Here is a 16,627-nt window from a genome sequence, read left to right as displayed (position 1 = left end):
CCCAAGTAGCTGGGACTACAGGCACGCCACCACGCCTGGCTAATTAGTTTTTATTATTTTGGGGGGGACGGAGTTTCGCTCTTGTTGCCTGGGCTGGAGTGCAATGGCACGATCTCGGCCCAGCGCAACCTCCGCCTCCCGGGTTCAAGTGATTCTCCTGCCTCAGCCTCCCGAGTAGCTGGGATTACAGGCACGCACCACCACGCCTGGCTAATTTTGTGTTTTTAGTAGAGACAGGGTTTCTCTACGTTGGTCAGGCTGGTCTTGAACTCCCGACCTCAGGTGATGCCCCCTGAGGTTATAGACGTGAGCCACCGCACCTGGCCTTGTTATTACTAAAGAGACCTAGTCTCTTTAAATAATATGTTGCCCAGCCTGGTCTCGAACTCCTAAGCTCAAACAATCCTCCCACCTCAGCCTCCCATAGTGCTGGGATTAGAGGCATGAGCCACTGCGCCTGGCAGTGTCAACTGTTGTGGATGTAGAAACATTTTAGAGGCTGTCTGCTATAAAATTACAATTTGTCTATGCCCAGGGAGGGTTTGGGTTCTCCTGACTCCCAGCTAAATAACCAGTGCTTTCGAGCAGGGCAGCATCTACGAAGAGTGAGAGCTGATATGATTAATACAGTAAGTAGAGGGTGGAAATTTGTACTCTGCTTAGCTTCTGATGTCTGCCTTTCCAAAAATATTCTCCTTAACTGCTTGGGCAATGACTGCTCCTTAGATTAATCAGACTTTTATGCGTCCCTCAGAATGAATAGTTGCATCTTCCATTTGTATCACTGCCTCTGGTTAACAAATTAGCAACAGCTTTGATCTGTCAGAATTGGGGAACAGCGGTCAACAAGGCTCCCAGTCTACAGAAGTTTGATTTCAGGGTGCCATCGGGTCTTGTGGCTCACAGAGATTCGGAAGGCCTGCTTGCCTGTGCCTCTAATTCCAAATTATATGCCATTGATGGCTATAAAAATGCAACTCCCCTGAGATAAGTAAATCTTTAAGCTACTGTCCTTTGGCAGATTTGAGAGGGACACTGGACACCAGGTTTCTGGGAGAAAAGATATCTTAAAAACTAGCAAGATAGAAGTCTCAGAAGTCTCAGAACACATTTCTTCTACTACAGAAGTTTGCCTAAGGCTTGTGCTATTTCATAAGATGTAAAGTAGCACCTTATCTAGATATCATAAGGATTAGCTAGATGTTATTAAATGTAAAATACTTTGAACTTCTACTTTCCGAGTTTTCACAGTTCTCATAAAATGTACTTTCCAAGTAATAAAGAATTGTCACATTACAGATAAGAAAAAGAAAAAAAAGCAAAAAGAGAAAAAGCATTGCTTACCACCATTTTATTACTTAACAAAACAACAATTAGCATCTGGATTTCTTTCTGGTCTTGATTGTATGCAAGATTTTTTACTATTGTTAACACAATTACAATCAAAGAATGCATACAGTTCTGTAACCTGACATCAAGCTTTTTGAGCCAGGCATTATAAAAGGGAACATTACAACATGTCTAGGATAATTAGGTAATTTCAAATCTGTCTCTGAAATGTTTTGCCCTTAATTCAACCCTTGGGCAGTAGCAATGATGCAGTGATGAGAATTTCAAGATAAACAACATCCTTGTAAAATGCACATCTGTCTGTTTTAACATTTGTTCTTGCAGATCTTCATGTCCCTCTCTGTGAGACTTTTGCATGATGTGAATTGGGTGGTACAGGAAAATCATGTACTTGCTCATACCTGACCGCAGTGAAACTAAATGTCAAAGGCTCAGTGGGAAAAGAAAAGGAAGGGAGGCACCAGGTGTGTTATATACCTTAACACATTTAATCTTTTGTTGTTTTTGTTTTGTTTTTTTGAGACAGAGTCTCACTCTGTAGCCCAAGTTGGAGTGCTGTGGTGCGAGTAGCTAGGACCACAGGCGTGCGCCACCAAGCCCAGCTAATTTTTTGTATTTTAGTAGAGACAGGGTTTCACCATGTTGCCCAGGGTGGTCTCAAACTCCTGAGCTCAGGCCGGGCGCGGTGGCTTACGCCTGTAATCCCAGCACTTTGGGAGGCCGAGGCGGGCGGATCACGAGGTCAGGATATTGAGACCATCCTGGCTAACATGAAACCCCGTCTCTACTAAAAATACAAAAAAAAAAAAAAAAAAAGCCGGGCGTGGTGGCGGGCGCCTGTAGTCCCAGCTATTCAGGAGGCTGAGGTAGGAGAATGGCGTTAACCCGGGAGGCGGAGCTTGCAGTGAGCAGACATCGCGCCACTGCACTCCAGCCTGGGCGACAGAGCAAGACTCCGTCTCAATAACAAAAAAACAAAAAAACAAACAAACTCCTGAGCTCAGGCGATTCACCCGCCTTGGACTCCCAAAGTGCTGGGATTACAGGCGTAAGCCACCACACCCGGCTCATTTAATCTTCATCAACCCAGTCAGGTAGGTATTACCAACCACACTTTAGACATAAGTATTAAGAAACTGCCCAAGGTTGCATTATTATTAAATACCAGAACAGGGATTAGTGCTCAGATCTTTTCAGTACACCAGGCAGGTAAACAAGAAAGCATTTAGCTGTAGAGAGCCAGTAATGTCAACAATCCCTACTTCTTCCTCAGTTATTTGCTCTATAATTTTTTTTTTTTTTTTTTTTTGAGACGGAGTTTTCACTCTTGTCGCCCAAGCCGGAGTGCAATGGCGCGATCTCGGCTCACTGCAACCTCCAACTCCCGGGTTCAAGCGATTCTCCTGCCTCAGCCTCCCTAGTAGCCGGGATTACAGGCATGAGCCACTGTGCCCAGCCTGCTCTGTAAATCTTAATTTTAAAATGGGTGTTTTGGTGGGGCGAGGTGGCTCGCGCCTGTAATCCTAGCACTCTGGGAGGCTGAAGCAGGTGGATCACTTGAGGTCAGGAGATGGCGACCAGCCTGACCCAACGTGGTGAAATCCTGTCTCTACTAAAGATAACAAAAATTAGCTGCGTGTGGTGGTGTGCACCTGTAATCCCAGCTACTCGGGAAGTTGAGGCAGGAGAATTGCTTGAACCAGGGAGGCAGAGGTTTCAGTGAACCGAGATCACACCACTCCAACTCCAGCCTGGGTGACACAGTGAGACTGCATCTCAAAAAATAAATAAATGGCTGGTCGCGGTGGCTCAACGCCTGTAATCCCAGCACTTTGGGAGGCCGAGGCGGGTGGATCACCTGAGGTCAGGAGTTCGAGACCAGCCTGACCAACAAGGTGAAACCCCATCTCTACTAAAAATATAAAAATTAGCTGGGCGTGGTGGCAGACGCCTGTAGTCCCAGCTACTCAGAAGGCTGAGACAGGAGAATTGCTTGAATCTGGGAGGCATAGGTTACAGTGAGCCGAGATTGTGCCACTGCACTCCAGCCTGGGCGAGGGAGCAAGACTCCGTCTCAAAAAAAATAAAAATAAAATGAGTGTTTAAAACGATTTTGTTTACAACTGGAATGTATTTGAAGAAAAGAAAATTTTAAAGAGACCTTTTTAAAAAGGGTAAACGAACTATTCTTCCCTCAGGAGTCAGTTATCTCTGGTAGTAAGTATACCAGAAATGGTAAGAGACCTACCTTTAAAGACAAACAAGCTAATGAATGATGCTTTGCGTAAACTCATGGAACAAAGAAGAAAACCTGGTCTTACTGAAGGGGAGTAAATTTCCAAACCAGCCCAAAAAACCTGGAGACTTCTCCTCTAGTTATAAACTACTACATGTGTCATAACCAAACTACTGAATATGCAAATGAAGGTGTGCTGAATATGCTAAGAAACAGAATGTGAATGGAAAGGTAGTGGAGGTTCCCAGATTGATTAAAAGGCAACATCTAACCTACAGTCTTGCTCATCTGCTCTTTGCTTTGCCAAATAGTAGCAAATCTGTTACAGGAAGTCAGAAGACTCAAATTAATTCATCACCAGACCCAAGATGTACACATCGTTGTAAACAAATCCTTGATGCAGTGTCTCCAGAGCCCTGGAGCAGTGTCTGGCCACATCCTGGATGCTAAATAGGGGTATCAACTTTCATCAGAGGGCCTCTAAGCTTCTGGTCCCTACATCCACCCCATCTTGCCACATGTGCTAGAAATCTGTAGCTTGTCTTCCCCCCACCCCTCAACACACACTCCTAGTTTCCATGGAGACGGAACAGTTTACTCTTTTCCCCCAATTGTAAGCCATGGTTATTTTTAACTGGAAAACTCTGAGCCAGGTCACAGCTGGGATCTGGATGATGCAATGACGTCTATAGTCACCCTTCTCTCCCACAAACGCCTTCTTTTGCACAGTCGCTGGGGGTGGGTGGAGGCACCCCTGGGAGACTTTGCTCTCAAAAGCATTTCACTTTGCATCTTCCATTTGTATCATTGGAAGTTGAAATTAAATGAAATTAAAACCTATGCCCATCTTAGATCTGACAAGTGTCCTGAATCTGAAGCTATGCACGCCCAGAACAAGGCCAAGATTTTCTTGTTGGGGTTGACAGCCAGGTGAGGTTGACATTCCTATCACCTGTCTGTGGCTAGAGCTTAAATGTTTCTGCCTCCACGGGAGTGGCTTTATCAGCTGCCGTTTGCCCTTAAAAAGGCTAAAAAGAGGTTCCTACTAGGGATATTGTGTGGAAAAGCTGTTACCCCACCTCTCCAAAGCAAATAACCTGATCTCAGGGTCGGAATCCTGCTGTCTCGTCTGCTACTAAAAGTTCGAATCAGTCCATCCATCTCAGCTAGAGTCTTCAAGGCATTTCTGAACTTTTTGCTCTTTTTTCAATAATTTTTGGGAAAAGCTATTAAATTACCCCAAAAATTGGACAACTTCCTAAAGATTAGAAACTGAAATAAGATTAGAAACTGAAATAAAAACATCAGTTTTCTTATAGGGGGACATCAATTGGGCAAATGCACTATTCTCTCCCTCGGTCCAGGAGCTAGTTATCTCTGGTAGTAACTGTTATCAGAAATGATTAAGAGCCCACAGCCCAAATTCCTTTTTTTTTTTTTTTTTAAAGACAGAGTCTTACTCTGTCGCCCAGGCTGTAGTGCAGTGGCACCATCTTGGCTCACTGCAACCTCTACCTCCTGGGTTCAAGCGATTCTCCTGCCTCAGCCGCCTCAGCCTCCCAAGTAGCTGGGATTACAGGCATGCACCACCACGCCCGCCTAATTTCTGTATTTTTAGTAGAGACGGGGTTTCAACATGTTGGCAAGGTTGGTCTCGAACTCCTGACCTCAAGTGATCTGCCCACCTCAGCCTCTCAAAGTGCTGGGATTACAGGTGTGAGTCACCACGCCTGCCCTCCGTTGATTTTTAACTTCTTAATATGTTTTTCTGTTTTAAAGGAATTCCCTAAATGATGATAATGAAAGGTGAGGGGCGAGGGAAGGATCCAAATCAATAGTTATATATTGTTCAATAGGAAGAAAGTCTTACGTCATTGCGAACAATTTCAGAAATGGAGAGTATACTCGGCAGCTAGCTTTCCAACAAGAGGAGAGATATGTTAGAAGTGTCATGAGTTGGCACTTGGCTGTCAGTTCACTGAATAAGGGTGATTTGATGGCAGCATTTCAGCATTTCTGCTTAAGAAAGTGCTGGTTTCTTAAAACAACTGTGAGACCTTCTCCTTTCCACATTTCCTAAGATGCTGATTCTGTTCAACACAACTCTGGACCAAGGCAGGATTATTATAAGCTACCTGGAAGCTTTTTGCCACCCACAGCCTCAGGGGAGACCAGACCAAGATGAAAAAAGTGTTGCTTGGTTAAGAAGAGGGGGTTAATTCAACCAAATGATTAGTTTGGTGCCACAAAAATCCATTCTGGTGCTCTAACGTAGAAAATAGGTGCATCAGACTCAATTATCCAGACCAAGTCTGGGCTGGCAAAAGTTAACTACAGGGTTTTCCAAGACAAGGGTAAGTACAGTGACCTTCAGGGCTACATCTATGAAATAAATTTTTTGTAGTTTTCAGGGGTTGGAACCTTTTAGTGGTTAACTTCCTGTGCTATCTCCATTTCCTTATTCCTACTGTCAACAGGGAAGGGGGCCTAGGACACAATGCATAACAAGCTACTCAAGTGACAAAGGAATTGTGATGGCAGATGCACGACATTCACCTTTCCCTTAAATAATGTCTCTGATTTGTAGCTTAGTCAATCAAATCAAAGGGCAGTTTGATTGCAGTACACCTTAACTGCTGGAAGCCAAGGCAACAAACAACAGAAAAAGAACTCCCTGCCATTAGACAAAGAAACTGGTTTTCCATACCTCTCAGCAACTGTTCATTTTTCCCTCCTCAAACACAGCACACTAACACGTCAGTTCTGATGCACACTTCAAGGACTGGCTACTTAGGTTCCAAATTCCCAAGTTAAAAGCTCCTCACTTTTTTTTTTTTTTGACAGTCTTGTTCTGTTGCCCAGGCTGGAGTGCAGTGGCGCAATCTCGGGTCACTGCAACCTCCACCTCCTGGGTTCCAGTGATTCTACTGTCTCAGCCTCCCTGAGGCTGGGATTATAGGCGTGAACCAGCACGCCTGGGTAATTTTTATATGTTTAGTAGAGACGGGGATTCGCTATGTTGGCCAGGCTGGTCTTGAGCTTCTGATTTCAAGTGATCCGCCCACCTCATCCTTCCAAAATGCTGGGATTACAGGCATGAGCCACTGGCCTAAAAACTCTTCACTATTGTTCTCACTCCCAAATCAAGTGCCTATGTCAGCAGGACTATTACTATTCAGGCTGCTGTGACCCTGCTCTTGCTCTGTTTCACTTACATTTGGCTCAAAAGGACTAGGTATCGTCTTTTTTTTTTTTTTTGGTAGAGACAGGGTCTTGCCCTGTCACTCAGGCTACATTACAATGGCACAAATCATGGCTTACTGCAGCCTTGACTACCCAGGCCCAAGCAATCCTCCTGCCTTAGCCTTCCAAGTAGCTAGGAGAAAAAGCGTGAGCCACCACACCCAGCATTCTTTTTTTTTTAATGTAGAGATGGGGGTCTTGCTGTGTTGTCCAGCCTGGTCTCAAACTCCTGGCTTCAAGTGACTCTCCCACTTCAGCCACAAAAAGTGCTAGGATTACAGGCATGAGCCACTGCACCCAGCCAGTGTCTGATTAAAAAGAATTCTTTTAGCTTGGCCAACTCTTCTATGCAAGGCCACAGACATGGCAGTGTCCTCGTGTTCCAAAGATGGTCCCTTCTGGCAGATGTGGGAAAGGTTAGCTGCATTTGGCTAAGCACGTTGGAAAGGAAAGCAAAGCTTCCAGATCAGCAGCACCTCTTGAATCAAACTTTTATTTCAATATAATTTTTAGAAATTCAAACAAAAAGCTAGGTGCATATAAGATACAGAAAACCCTTTTGTGTTGTCAAGAATAATGCAATGTACATTTAGAAGGTGTCCACAAAGATATCCTTAAAAATGAATGGGCGAAGTTCCCCAGAATGCTGTTGAGAATACAGTACCACTGTTTGCTTAAAGATGGGTGAAAAAGTGTTTTTTGGAGGGATTCTAGGCATAAAGCTTTGCAAAGCTGGGTTTACCAAAGAAATAATAAAACTCATACATATTTATGAGTGAGTTTTCCCAAACTGCTGTGTAATGTGGCCTCTGATTCTTCAATGCAGATTTTTTCTCTTGTTACATACCTACATATTTCCTAAAGCTAGAATGTCCTACAAACTGGGATTTTGTTGTTATTGATGAATGCCATTGGTTTTCTCCCTTTTCCAGCTAACCCCCAGTCATTTCAATGACTGGTTGCTTAACTGAGTTCAGATTTTTAAAAGCGGGGGAAGTGAAGACGGTTAACAATAAAAGGAAAGAAACTGGGACCCAGGAAAAGATAAACTGAATATTTAGTATTAATTGGTATCGCAAGAGACAGAGTCTTGGTCTTTGAGCACAGAGAAGAGTCATTACATGGAAAGAGATTTGTTCTTTATTTCCCACCACTTAGAGAGAAAAATATGCATAAAACTCCAGCAGAAACTTTTAACGTTAAATTGCAATAAAAATTTCAGTAAACAGGTTTTATTCATGTCATTAAGTTTCAGGGTAAACTCTCTCTTCTGAGACAATCTGGAGAGACCTCTATCAGTGTAGTTGGTTTATGGCCAACCCTGTCTAGAAGCAAAGAGGAAGGATGCAATGCTACGTATCTTTGCAAAGTTCGGTATACCAAAGAAATAATAATCCTACTTTCAAAAATCCAGTCATTTAAAACTTCAGTCTTATTTTTCTATTACTATTTTCAACCATGCCATTTTCCTCATGAAATCTGATTTGCCATCAGCTTTTCAGAGTTCAACTGTTTCCAAGGTTTCTGTCAGACTGTCCTACCATCCTCCCACTCCTAACTACCCAGCTGCCCCTTGTGTTCTAGCCAAATAAATCTCTTGGCACCATTGTCCTTACACCCACTGCTGCCTCCACATCATTCTCCACCCCCTGTGTGTGGAATTGTCTCCCACTTCCATCTGCCATTTTTCTCTCTCTTCTCTATCATATAATTGCCCCAAAAGCCCACCTCTCCCAGGAAGCCTTCCTTAATCAAGGTTAAGGACTCTTCAGACTACAACAGACGTCACCTAACACTGATGGCTAATGCATCCCAACTTTTCAGAACAGGAGTTTCCTTTCAGGGATAAGAGGCAATCACTTCACAACCAACTAGGGGTGATGGTAGTGGTAAAATGTTTTCTACGAGATATGATTTTACAAGGAAAACAGGTCATTTCCACGTCATTCTTTTTAAAAAATCGAAGTCCTCTATTTGAATTCCCTCAGGTCCTTAGAGTGTCTTTTTCATTTCTTATCCCTTAGATGAATCCCTTCCCAGCTGCATGCATATTTACAACAGTCAAAAGTTTGAGCAGATGCTTCCAACAAAGCACACAGTATTTTAATTAGATATTTGAATGTAGAAGGAATTAAACAGTCAACTATTCGATGTGATTTGTGTCGATTCTGACGAAGTTATTTCTATATACAACTTTGTTTCTAACAGAAACAAGATAACCATAAGTTTGGCTTCTTATTCTGCAGAAACGTTTGAGGACCAAGTTTTACATGTGGTGGGGCTACTTACCCTCATATCTAGTGAGTCCCATATATAAAGCTGCTTTACTTCTGTTTTAAAAGCAGCTTTTATTGCAGGCTAGCCTTTCACCATTGAGAAATAGGGTTCAAGTCACAATCCAAGCAAAGCTGAGGTTTGTTGCATCATCTCCATCCTCAGGGGCTTGGTATCCTGGGAAACCCAGGGCAAAAACAGGGTGAGTTCAGGACACATGTGACAGCAGACAGTGCAGCGTGATGGGGCAGGCATCCAACACCTTAAGTGTGTTTCAGTTACCAGAATATTTGACACACCCACAAATTAAATAGCAAAACATTTTAATTAATTCTAAAAATAACAGAGACATGTTATATCCGGTGCCACCTCCTCAAAAGACTACTGCAGATTAGACAGGCAGACTGCAAAGTACAAAGCCAGACATTAAAGGTTTTTTTTTGTTTTTTTTTTTTTGAGACAGAGTCTCACTTTGTTGCCCAGGCTGGAGCACAGTGGCGTGATCTCAGCTCGCTGCAACCTCTGCCTCCTGTGTTCAAGCAATTCTCCTGCCTCAGCCTCCTGAGTAGCTGGGATTACAGGCGTGTGCCACCACACTCAGCTAATTTTTGTATTTTTAGTAGAGACTGTTTCACCATGTTGGTCAGGCTGGTCTTGAACTCCTGACTTCGTGATCCGCCCACCTTAGCCTCCCAAAGTGCTGGGATTACAGGTGAGCCACCTTGCCCGGCCGAAGTTAAAGATGCAGTTTGGGATAAGACCATCATAAGGATATTTTCTTCCCCTTTACTCATAAAAGTTGTCAGCTTAGGCCGGGCGCGATGGCTCACGCCTGTAATCCTAGTACTTTGGGAGGCTGAGGCGGGCAGATCACCTGAGGTCAGGAGTTTGTGACCAGCCTGGCCAACATGACAAAACCCTGTCTCTACTAAAAATACAAAATTAGCCAGGTGTGGTGGTGGACACCTGTAGTCCCAGCTATTCGGGAGGCTGAGGCAGGAGAATCACTTGAACCTGGGAGGCAGAGGTTGTAGTGAGCTGAGATCTTGCCATCACACTCCAGCCTGGAGGACAAGAGCAAACTCTGTCTCAAAAAAAAAAAAAAAAAGTTGTCAGCTTAAAAAATCCTTCAACGAGAGCTTTCTTATGCTCTAAAACCTTTCTCTTTATTTTAAATCTGTCTGCAGTGTTTGAAGGCAAGACAGATAATCAGCAAACTTACCTCGCAATATAAGGATCTGAGCTGGACTCCTGGGATTACAGACTGTGGTTTAGTTCCATTTCTACCAGCACTGTGATGTGAGGTACTATGGTTCTTTTAGTTACAAGAGGTGTTAGGAATGAATGCCCACTCACATTTAATAATAGCTTATGTAGCACACAACTCTGCAGCATAATACCAACAACAGGAGTGTTTTAAAGCAGGATGGAGAAGAAAGTAGACAATACAACTTAAGGTTTCCTTTGTCCTTTCCCCTGTTTTCACCATGAGAATTCAGCTGAAAAACAACTCTCCAGAATGCCCACCCATATTGTCCTTTGACCCACCACATTCCAAACTTCTGACTTCTGATCCCAAGCTCTTGGAGCCTTAGCCTTTAGTGATGTATCCTTCTCTGATGAGGAAATCATAGATTTTCCGGGTTTTGTTCACATCTATCTTGATGAGTGCTCTTGCCTGCGCCAGTCTTAAGCCTCCTTGCTTGTTACATTCGTTCAATAGAGCAGATTTGTATTCTAAATAGGCTCCAGGGACCAACCTCACCATCTGACAGAGCTGCAAGACACGGCAAATTTAATAAACATTAACATCTGTCATTTTTGTAATTTAATCCAGCAGGTATAGCAAAAAATTTTTTAAAGTGACATCAACCTCCAACTATTTATAGGAGCTGATGGGTGGCTGGACTACATTCCATTTAGTCTCTTCCTCTCTGGAGAGAACACTCCCTAAGGACACACACCCAGGAAGAGAAAGCCAGGGTGTGATACTAGAAGAGCCTTTAGCACATGCCAGCTGGCTCAGGGGCCTGGGTTTGTTAGGGATTTACAACTATGTGCTCCTGAGGAGCAGCCTGGCTCTTTCAGGAGTCAAACACTAAATGCCCAGGTACAGTCCCAGCACCAATGGTCAGGGAAGAGCCATGGGGCACAGTGGGGGCAGAATGCACAGACACTTGGATTCTCAAGGCTGCATCACATTGTTTTTAGTGTCAGCATAAAGCAGTAGTCCCTGCTTTGGGGATTACATTTCCTACTTCAAAGGGAAAGGAGATAAAGAGACCTTGCTAAGAGGAGGTAACTTTAACTGCTAAAAATCTAGAAAATTGCCACATTATCCAGCAATGAGGAGTCTGAGGTCACCATTATGTGGGTAAGGATAAAAAAAGCTTGAAATTCCAGGCCATTCAATATTTGAATCAGGCTGACCTATGACCTCCTTCAGCAATACATAGATACTACATACATTTCCTTCCACTCCCAAACTAATCCTTACTGTTCCTGGTGGATAAAATAAGACTAACACTATCCCCTACACTATGACCCTTCCTTATTATCTGAACTGAACTAATGATATATGGTGGGAGATGGGGAACTGACCTTGGGAATTATAAAAGGAGCATATGAGGAGCAAAAGAGGAACTCCTCCAAAAGAGGAACAGACTTCAGAGATGTGACAAAGTTTTCTGAAAACTCCTGATGATGACTCTTATGAGGCTGGCTTTAAATTTTAGAAACAGATAAAATCAATATGAAGACATGTCTGATGATTGCAACTGGAAAAAGTAGGTCACATAATTTTTTAATCAGGCCGGTGCAGTGGCTCACATCTCTAATCCCAGCACTTTTGGAGCTGGTGTGAGTGGATCACCTGAAGTCAGGAGTTCGAGACCAGCCTGGCTAACAAGGTGAAACCCCGTCTCTACTAAAAATACAAAAATTAGCCGGGTGTGGTGGTATGCGCCTGTAGTCCCAGCTACTCAGGGGCAGGAGAATCGTTTGAACCCGGGAGGCAGAGGTTGCAGTGAGCCGAGATCACACCACTGCACTCCAGCCTGGGTAACAGAGCGAGACTTTCAAATAAAAAATAAAAAATAGGCCGGGTGAGGTGGCTCACGCCTGTAATCCCAACACTTTGGGAGGCCAAGGTGGATGGATCATGAGGTCAGGAGTTCAAGATCAGCCTGGCCAACATGGTGAAACCCCATCTCTACTAAAAACTACAAAAATTAGCCAGGCATGGTGGCAAGCGCCTATAGTCCAGTCCCAGCTACTCGGGGAGCTGAGGCAGAAGAATCGCTTGAACCTGGGAGGTGGAGGCTGCAGTGAGCTGTGATCGCATCACTGCACTCCAGCCTGGGTGACAGGGCAAGTCTCCGTCTCAAAAAATAAATAAATAAAAAAAAATAAAAATAAAAAATAATTTTTAAAATCAAAATTAACATGACTATATATGATGTAGAAATCTTTTCCTTAGGTTTATAAACATGCTCTGGAGACAATTTACAAAAATGTTTTAAATAATGATTATGTTGTTGGAATAAGTATAGAACTTTTCAAGGCAGCCATTCTAATAGGAAATATCTATTTTCATGTAGAAGTTACTTTAGGTTTACAAAAAATTAATTTTATTTACATAAAGCACTCAGTAGAGTAGCACATGGTAAGTGCTCAATAGATGATAGTTGCTATTATTATGTCATCTACATACCACATGTGCTTTCCCCAAAAGAGGAATGGTGGTAGGGTGACAAGGTAAGCAATTCTCTGAAATCTGCCACAAACGGCTCTTTAGCTCTTGGACTTCTAGGATTCACCAGAGCTGTGCATATATGTTAGATGAATGAAACAAAAGGGGTTTGACCCTGTAATGGATTTTTAATGACAACTCAATGAATAATCAGCCCCTATTCTCTTTCTCCCAGCCCCCTCCCTTTTGTTACCTCCTTTTCTTTTTCATTCAGCTTCTCTGTGCCAGGGAGGCCAGTGAGGTTCAAGGGTGGTGCACTCCGTCTACCTATAGACAGAGAAAGGAAACAGCATAGATTTAATAGGAGTGACAATTTCTCAGGTGTAAAGTATTAAAAAGTTCAGTGCAGCCAGGCCAGTTAGGTATAGGATCACTATATCCAGCTTAGGAAATCCTGTCCCATTCCCTCAGGCCTGTTTAGCTAACAACATGGGCACCCGAACATTCACTTGAAAATGAATTACATATTCAGGGCACATGAATTACCCATAATCTGCTAAAATACACATACAGTCACACATACCTTAGCATCAAATGTAACTACTCACCACAGTAGTTATCTCTTATTTATTATTATTATTTTTGAGACAGGGTCTCACTCTGTTGCTCAGGCTGGAGTGCAGTGTTGCGATCATAGCTCACTATAGCCTCAATCTCCCTGGCTCAAGTGATCCTCCTGCCTCAGCCTCCCAACTACCTGGGAAGACAGGCATATGCCACCATGCCCGACTATCACCTATTTCTTCCTAACCATGTAGGAGACTCTAAAATCTGATGCCCAGATGTCATCCAGTTAAGAAACATCACACAATGCCTGCTTTGACAGCTGACGAATGGAAATAATAACTGCAGAACAGACATTCCCTAATCCTTGCCACTCGGCCAGCAGTACAAGGCAAACATGGTAATTAACCAAGTACTGTGTGCCTTCAGATCAAAGAAAGACTGTTAGGCCAGCAAAAGGCCCTTCTTTTTTATTATGTGAGGGAATATCTGTTCCTTCCAAAGTAGCCCTGTTTACCTGCAAGATCCACAAACAGGAACAATGAGCCATTATATGGCAAAGCAGGGGCTGAGGTCAACTCACACACCTGAGAAAGAAACCCAAGTAGGAGGTCACTGGCCAGGAGGGGAAGCTTGATGAGCAAAACTTTTTTGGTTTTGTTTTGAATGTGTATTAGGGATTGGTATTCAGCTGGGAATGGATAGACTGAGTTAAGCAAAGAAAATGTCGAAGTTTTATAGAGGTTGCTTTTCAAGTGGGGCAGAGAAAGGGGAGGGACTGTTACAAGCTCCACTGGTGGAAAACAGGCTTCTCTGTTACATCAACAAAAGGCATAAGGGATTATTCCAAATCCTCAAAAAGGGAGATAAAACCATTTGGTTCCTCACAAAAGTCACCAGAGGCTAGGCTACAATCAAAGATGCCAGGCTTCCAATACATAGTTGCCTTAAGAACTCAGAACATAAAGGAGAGCAAGAGATCTCCTCAGCCTAAATATAAGGGGTGAGAAAGGCTAACACAGGCTAGGAACAAACAATGAACAAGAGGCCGGGTGCAGAGGCTCACACCTGTAATCTGAGCACTTTGGGAGGCTGAAGCAGGAGGATCACTTGAGCCCAGGAGTTCAAGACCAACCTGGGTGATATAGTAAGACCTTGTTTCTACCAAAAAAAAAAAAAAAAAAAAAAAAATTTCTCCAGGTTTGGTGGCATTCACCTGTAGTCCCAGCCACTCAGGAGCTGAACTGGGAGGATCACTTAGGCCTGGGAGTTTGAGGCTACAGTGAGCCATGATCACATACTGCACTCCAGCCTGGATAGTAGAGGGAGACCCTGTCTCACAAAAAAAGAAAAAAGAAACAATGAACAAGTCAGTGCAGATAGTACAGAGAACAAAAATATATGATCATGTTAGCCAGTTCCTTCATTTAATTTAATTAATTAATTTATTTATTTTTTGAGATGGTCTTAACTCTGTCACCCAGGCTGGAGTGCAATGGTGCGATCTTGGCTCACTGAAACCTCTGCCTCCCGGATTCAAGCGATTCTCCTGCCTCAGCCTCTGGAGTAGCTGGGATTACAGATGTGTACCACCACACCCAGCTAATTTTTATATTTTTTTTTCAGGAGAGATGGGTTTTCATCACGTTGGTCAGGCTGGTCTCAAACTCCCAACCTCAGGTGATCTGCCCGCCTCAGCCTCTCAAAGTGCTGGGATTACAGGCATGAGCCACTGCACCTGACCCAGTTCCTTCATTTTAATTAGCCAGTATTAACTTAGTTGTATTTAGATTTTGGGGGTAGAGTGTTGGCAGTAAGAAACTTACAAAATAAAACTTTGATTTCACTGTCTTAGCCACTCCCCTAAAACAATACCTTTTTCTTCTTTCCATATTAAGAAAAAATCACTTGAAATAAAGGAATAAATGGGGGAAAAAAAAAAGTCCCTTCAGTGACCAGGCGCAGTGGCTCATGCCTGTAATCCCAGCACTTTGGGAGGCCGAGGCAGGCAGATCACCTGAGGTCAGCAGTTCGAGACCAGCCTGGCCAGCATGGCGAAACCCCATCTCTACTGAAAGTACAAAAATCAGCTGGGCATAGTGGCAGGCGCCTCTAATCCCAGCTACTTGGGAGGCTGAGGCAGGAGAATCGCTTGAATCCGGAAGGCAGAGGTTGCAGTGAGCCAAGATCGCGTCACTGCACTCCAGCCTGGGTGACAGAGCGAGACTCCATCTCAAAAAAAAAAAAGTCCCTAACGCGGACAAATCTGAGACCCAGATTCTGAATCTACTGAGACATACCTCCCCCAATTCCCAGTCATCGATTACCAATCACCAAGGATCATCAGATAGCGTATGGCTTAATCTTGCTCTGTATACTAATTTCAAAATAGGACATACTCAAAGAGGTAAAACGAAGAAATAGAAATACTTTAGGTCTCTAACTCAGAAATCCTTATGTTTCTGGCAAGTAACATGCTTCTTTGCTCATGTTATATAAAAATAAAAAGTTTAGGCTGGGCACGGTGGCTCACGCCTGTAATTCCAGCACTTTGGGAGGCCGTGGTGGGTGCCTCACTTGAGGTCAGGAGTTCGAGACCAGCCTGGCCAACATGGCAAAACCGTCCCTACCAAAAATACAAAAATTAGCCAGGCGTGGTGGTGCATGCCTGTAATCCCAGCTGTTCGGGAGGCTGGGGCAGAAGAATCACTTGAACCCGGGAAGCGGAGGTTGCAGTGAGCCGAGATCACACCACTGCACTCCAGCCTGGGCGACAGACCGAGACTCTGTCTCAAAAAATAAGTAAATAAATAAAAAATAATAAAATAAAAAGCTTTTAATTTATCTCCTGTGAAATAAGTCTCAAAATTAGTGGTAGACACAACTGCAGTAAACTAACTGCTCATGAACATTGGTAAAATAAAGAAGTTACCTCTCTGAAGTTCTTTTTTCCCCTGTCTCTATACTGTCTATACTCTATACTGTCACTCTGAGGATAGTCTCTGTCTGGCCATGAAGGTTCTGAAAACATACTGATGTTTATATATTGGGCTAACACTTGATTACTGTTACTCTGCCTAAGCACCCTGACACCACAGAGGAAGGAAGATTGCTGGGTCACTATAACCCCTACGATGCAAACTTCACAATTAAGACTTGTTCTGGCCTGAGAAATAATTACCTGAATTCGAAGCCATTGGAATGGAAGGACTCAGGCCGGAATCACTACAACGAAGAAGAGGAATTTAAACTTAGGTCATATCAAACAA

General features: G+C 43.4%; 1 protein-coding gene across 11 annotated transcripts in view, besides 1 other annotated feature; it reads right to left on the bottom strand.

Annotated features, from left to right (window-relative positions):
- Nucleotides 4,042–4,543: an enhancer, noted in NCBI's record as "H3K4me1 hESC enhancer chr17:35843239-35843740 (GRCh37/hg19 assembly coordinates)". NCBI's record gives its function as "activates a minimal SCP1, AML or CMV promoter by ChIP-STARR-seq in primed H9 embryonic stem cells {active_cell/tissue: H9 hESC(primed)}" and the evidence as "EXISTENCE:reporter gene assay evidence [ECO:0000049][PMID:30033119]".
- TADA2A (transcriptional adaptor 2A) overlaps nt 7,952–16,627 on the bottom strand; it is a 72,840-nt gene continuing 64,164 nt past the window's right edge. For all 11 annotated transcript variants that reach the window (NM_001166105.3, XM_017024982.1, XM_017024981.2 and 8 more), the window contains 3 exons: nt 16,540–16,583; nt 13,048–13,121; nt 7,952–10,880 (listed from right to left, as the gene is read on the bottom strand). In NM_001166105.3, coding sequence (NP_001159577.2) covers nt 10,695–10,880; nt 13,048–13,121; nt 16,540–16,583 — 304 coding nt within the window. In that variant the 3' untranslated portion in view covers nt 7,952–10,694. The remainder of the gene's footprint in view (nt 10,881–13,047; nt 13,122–16,539; nt 16,584–16,627) is intronic.

Source organism: Homo sapiens, chromosome 17 (genome assembly GCF_000001405.40).
Source record: "Homo sapiens chromosome 17, GRCh38.p14 Primary Assembly".
Lineage (NCBI taxonomy): Eukaryota > Metazoa > Chordata > Mammalia > Primates > Hominidae > Homo > Homo sapiens.
This window is presented reverse-complemented; position numbering and strand designations above follow the sequence as displayed.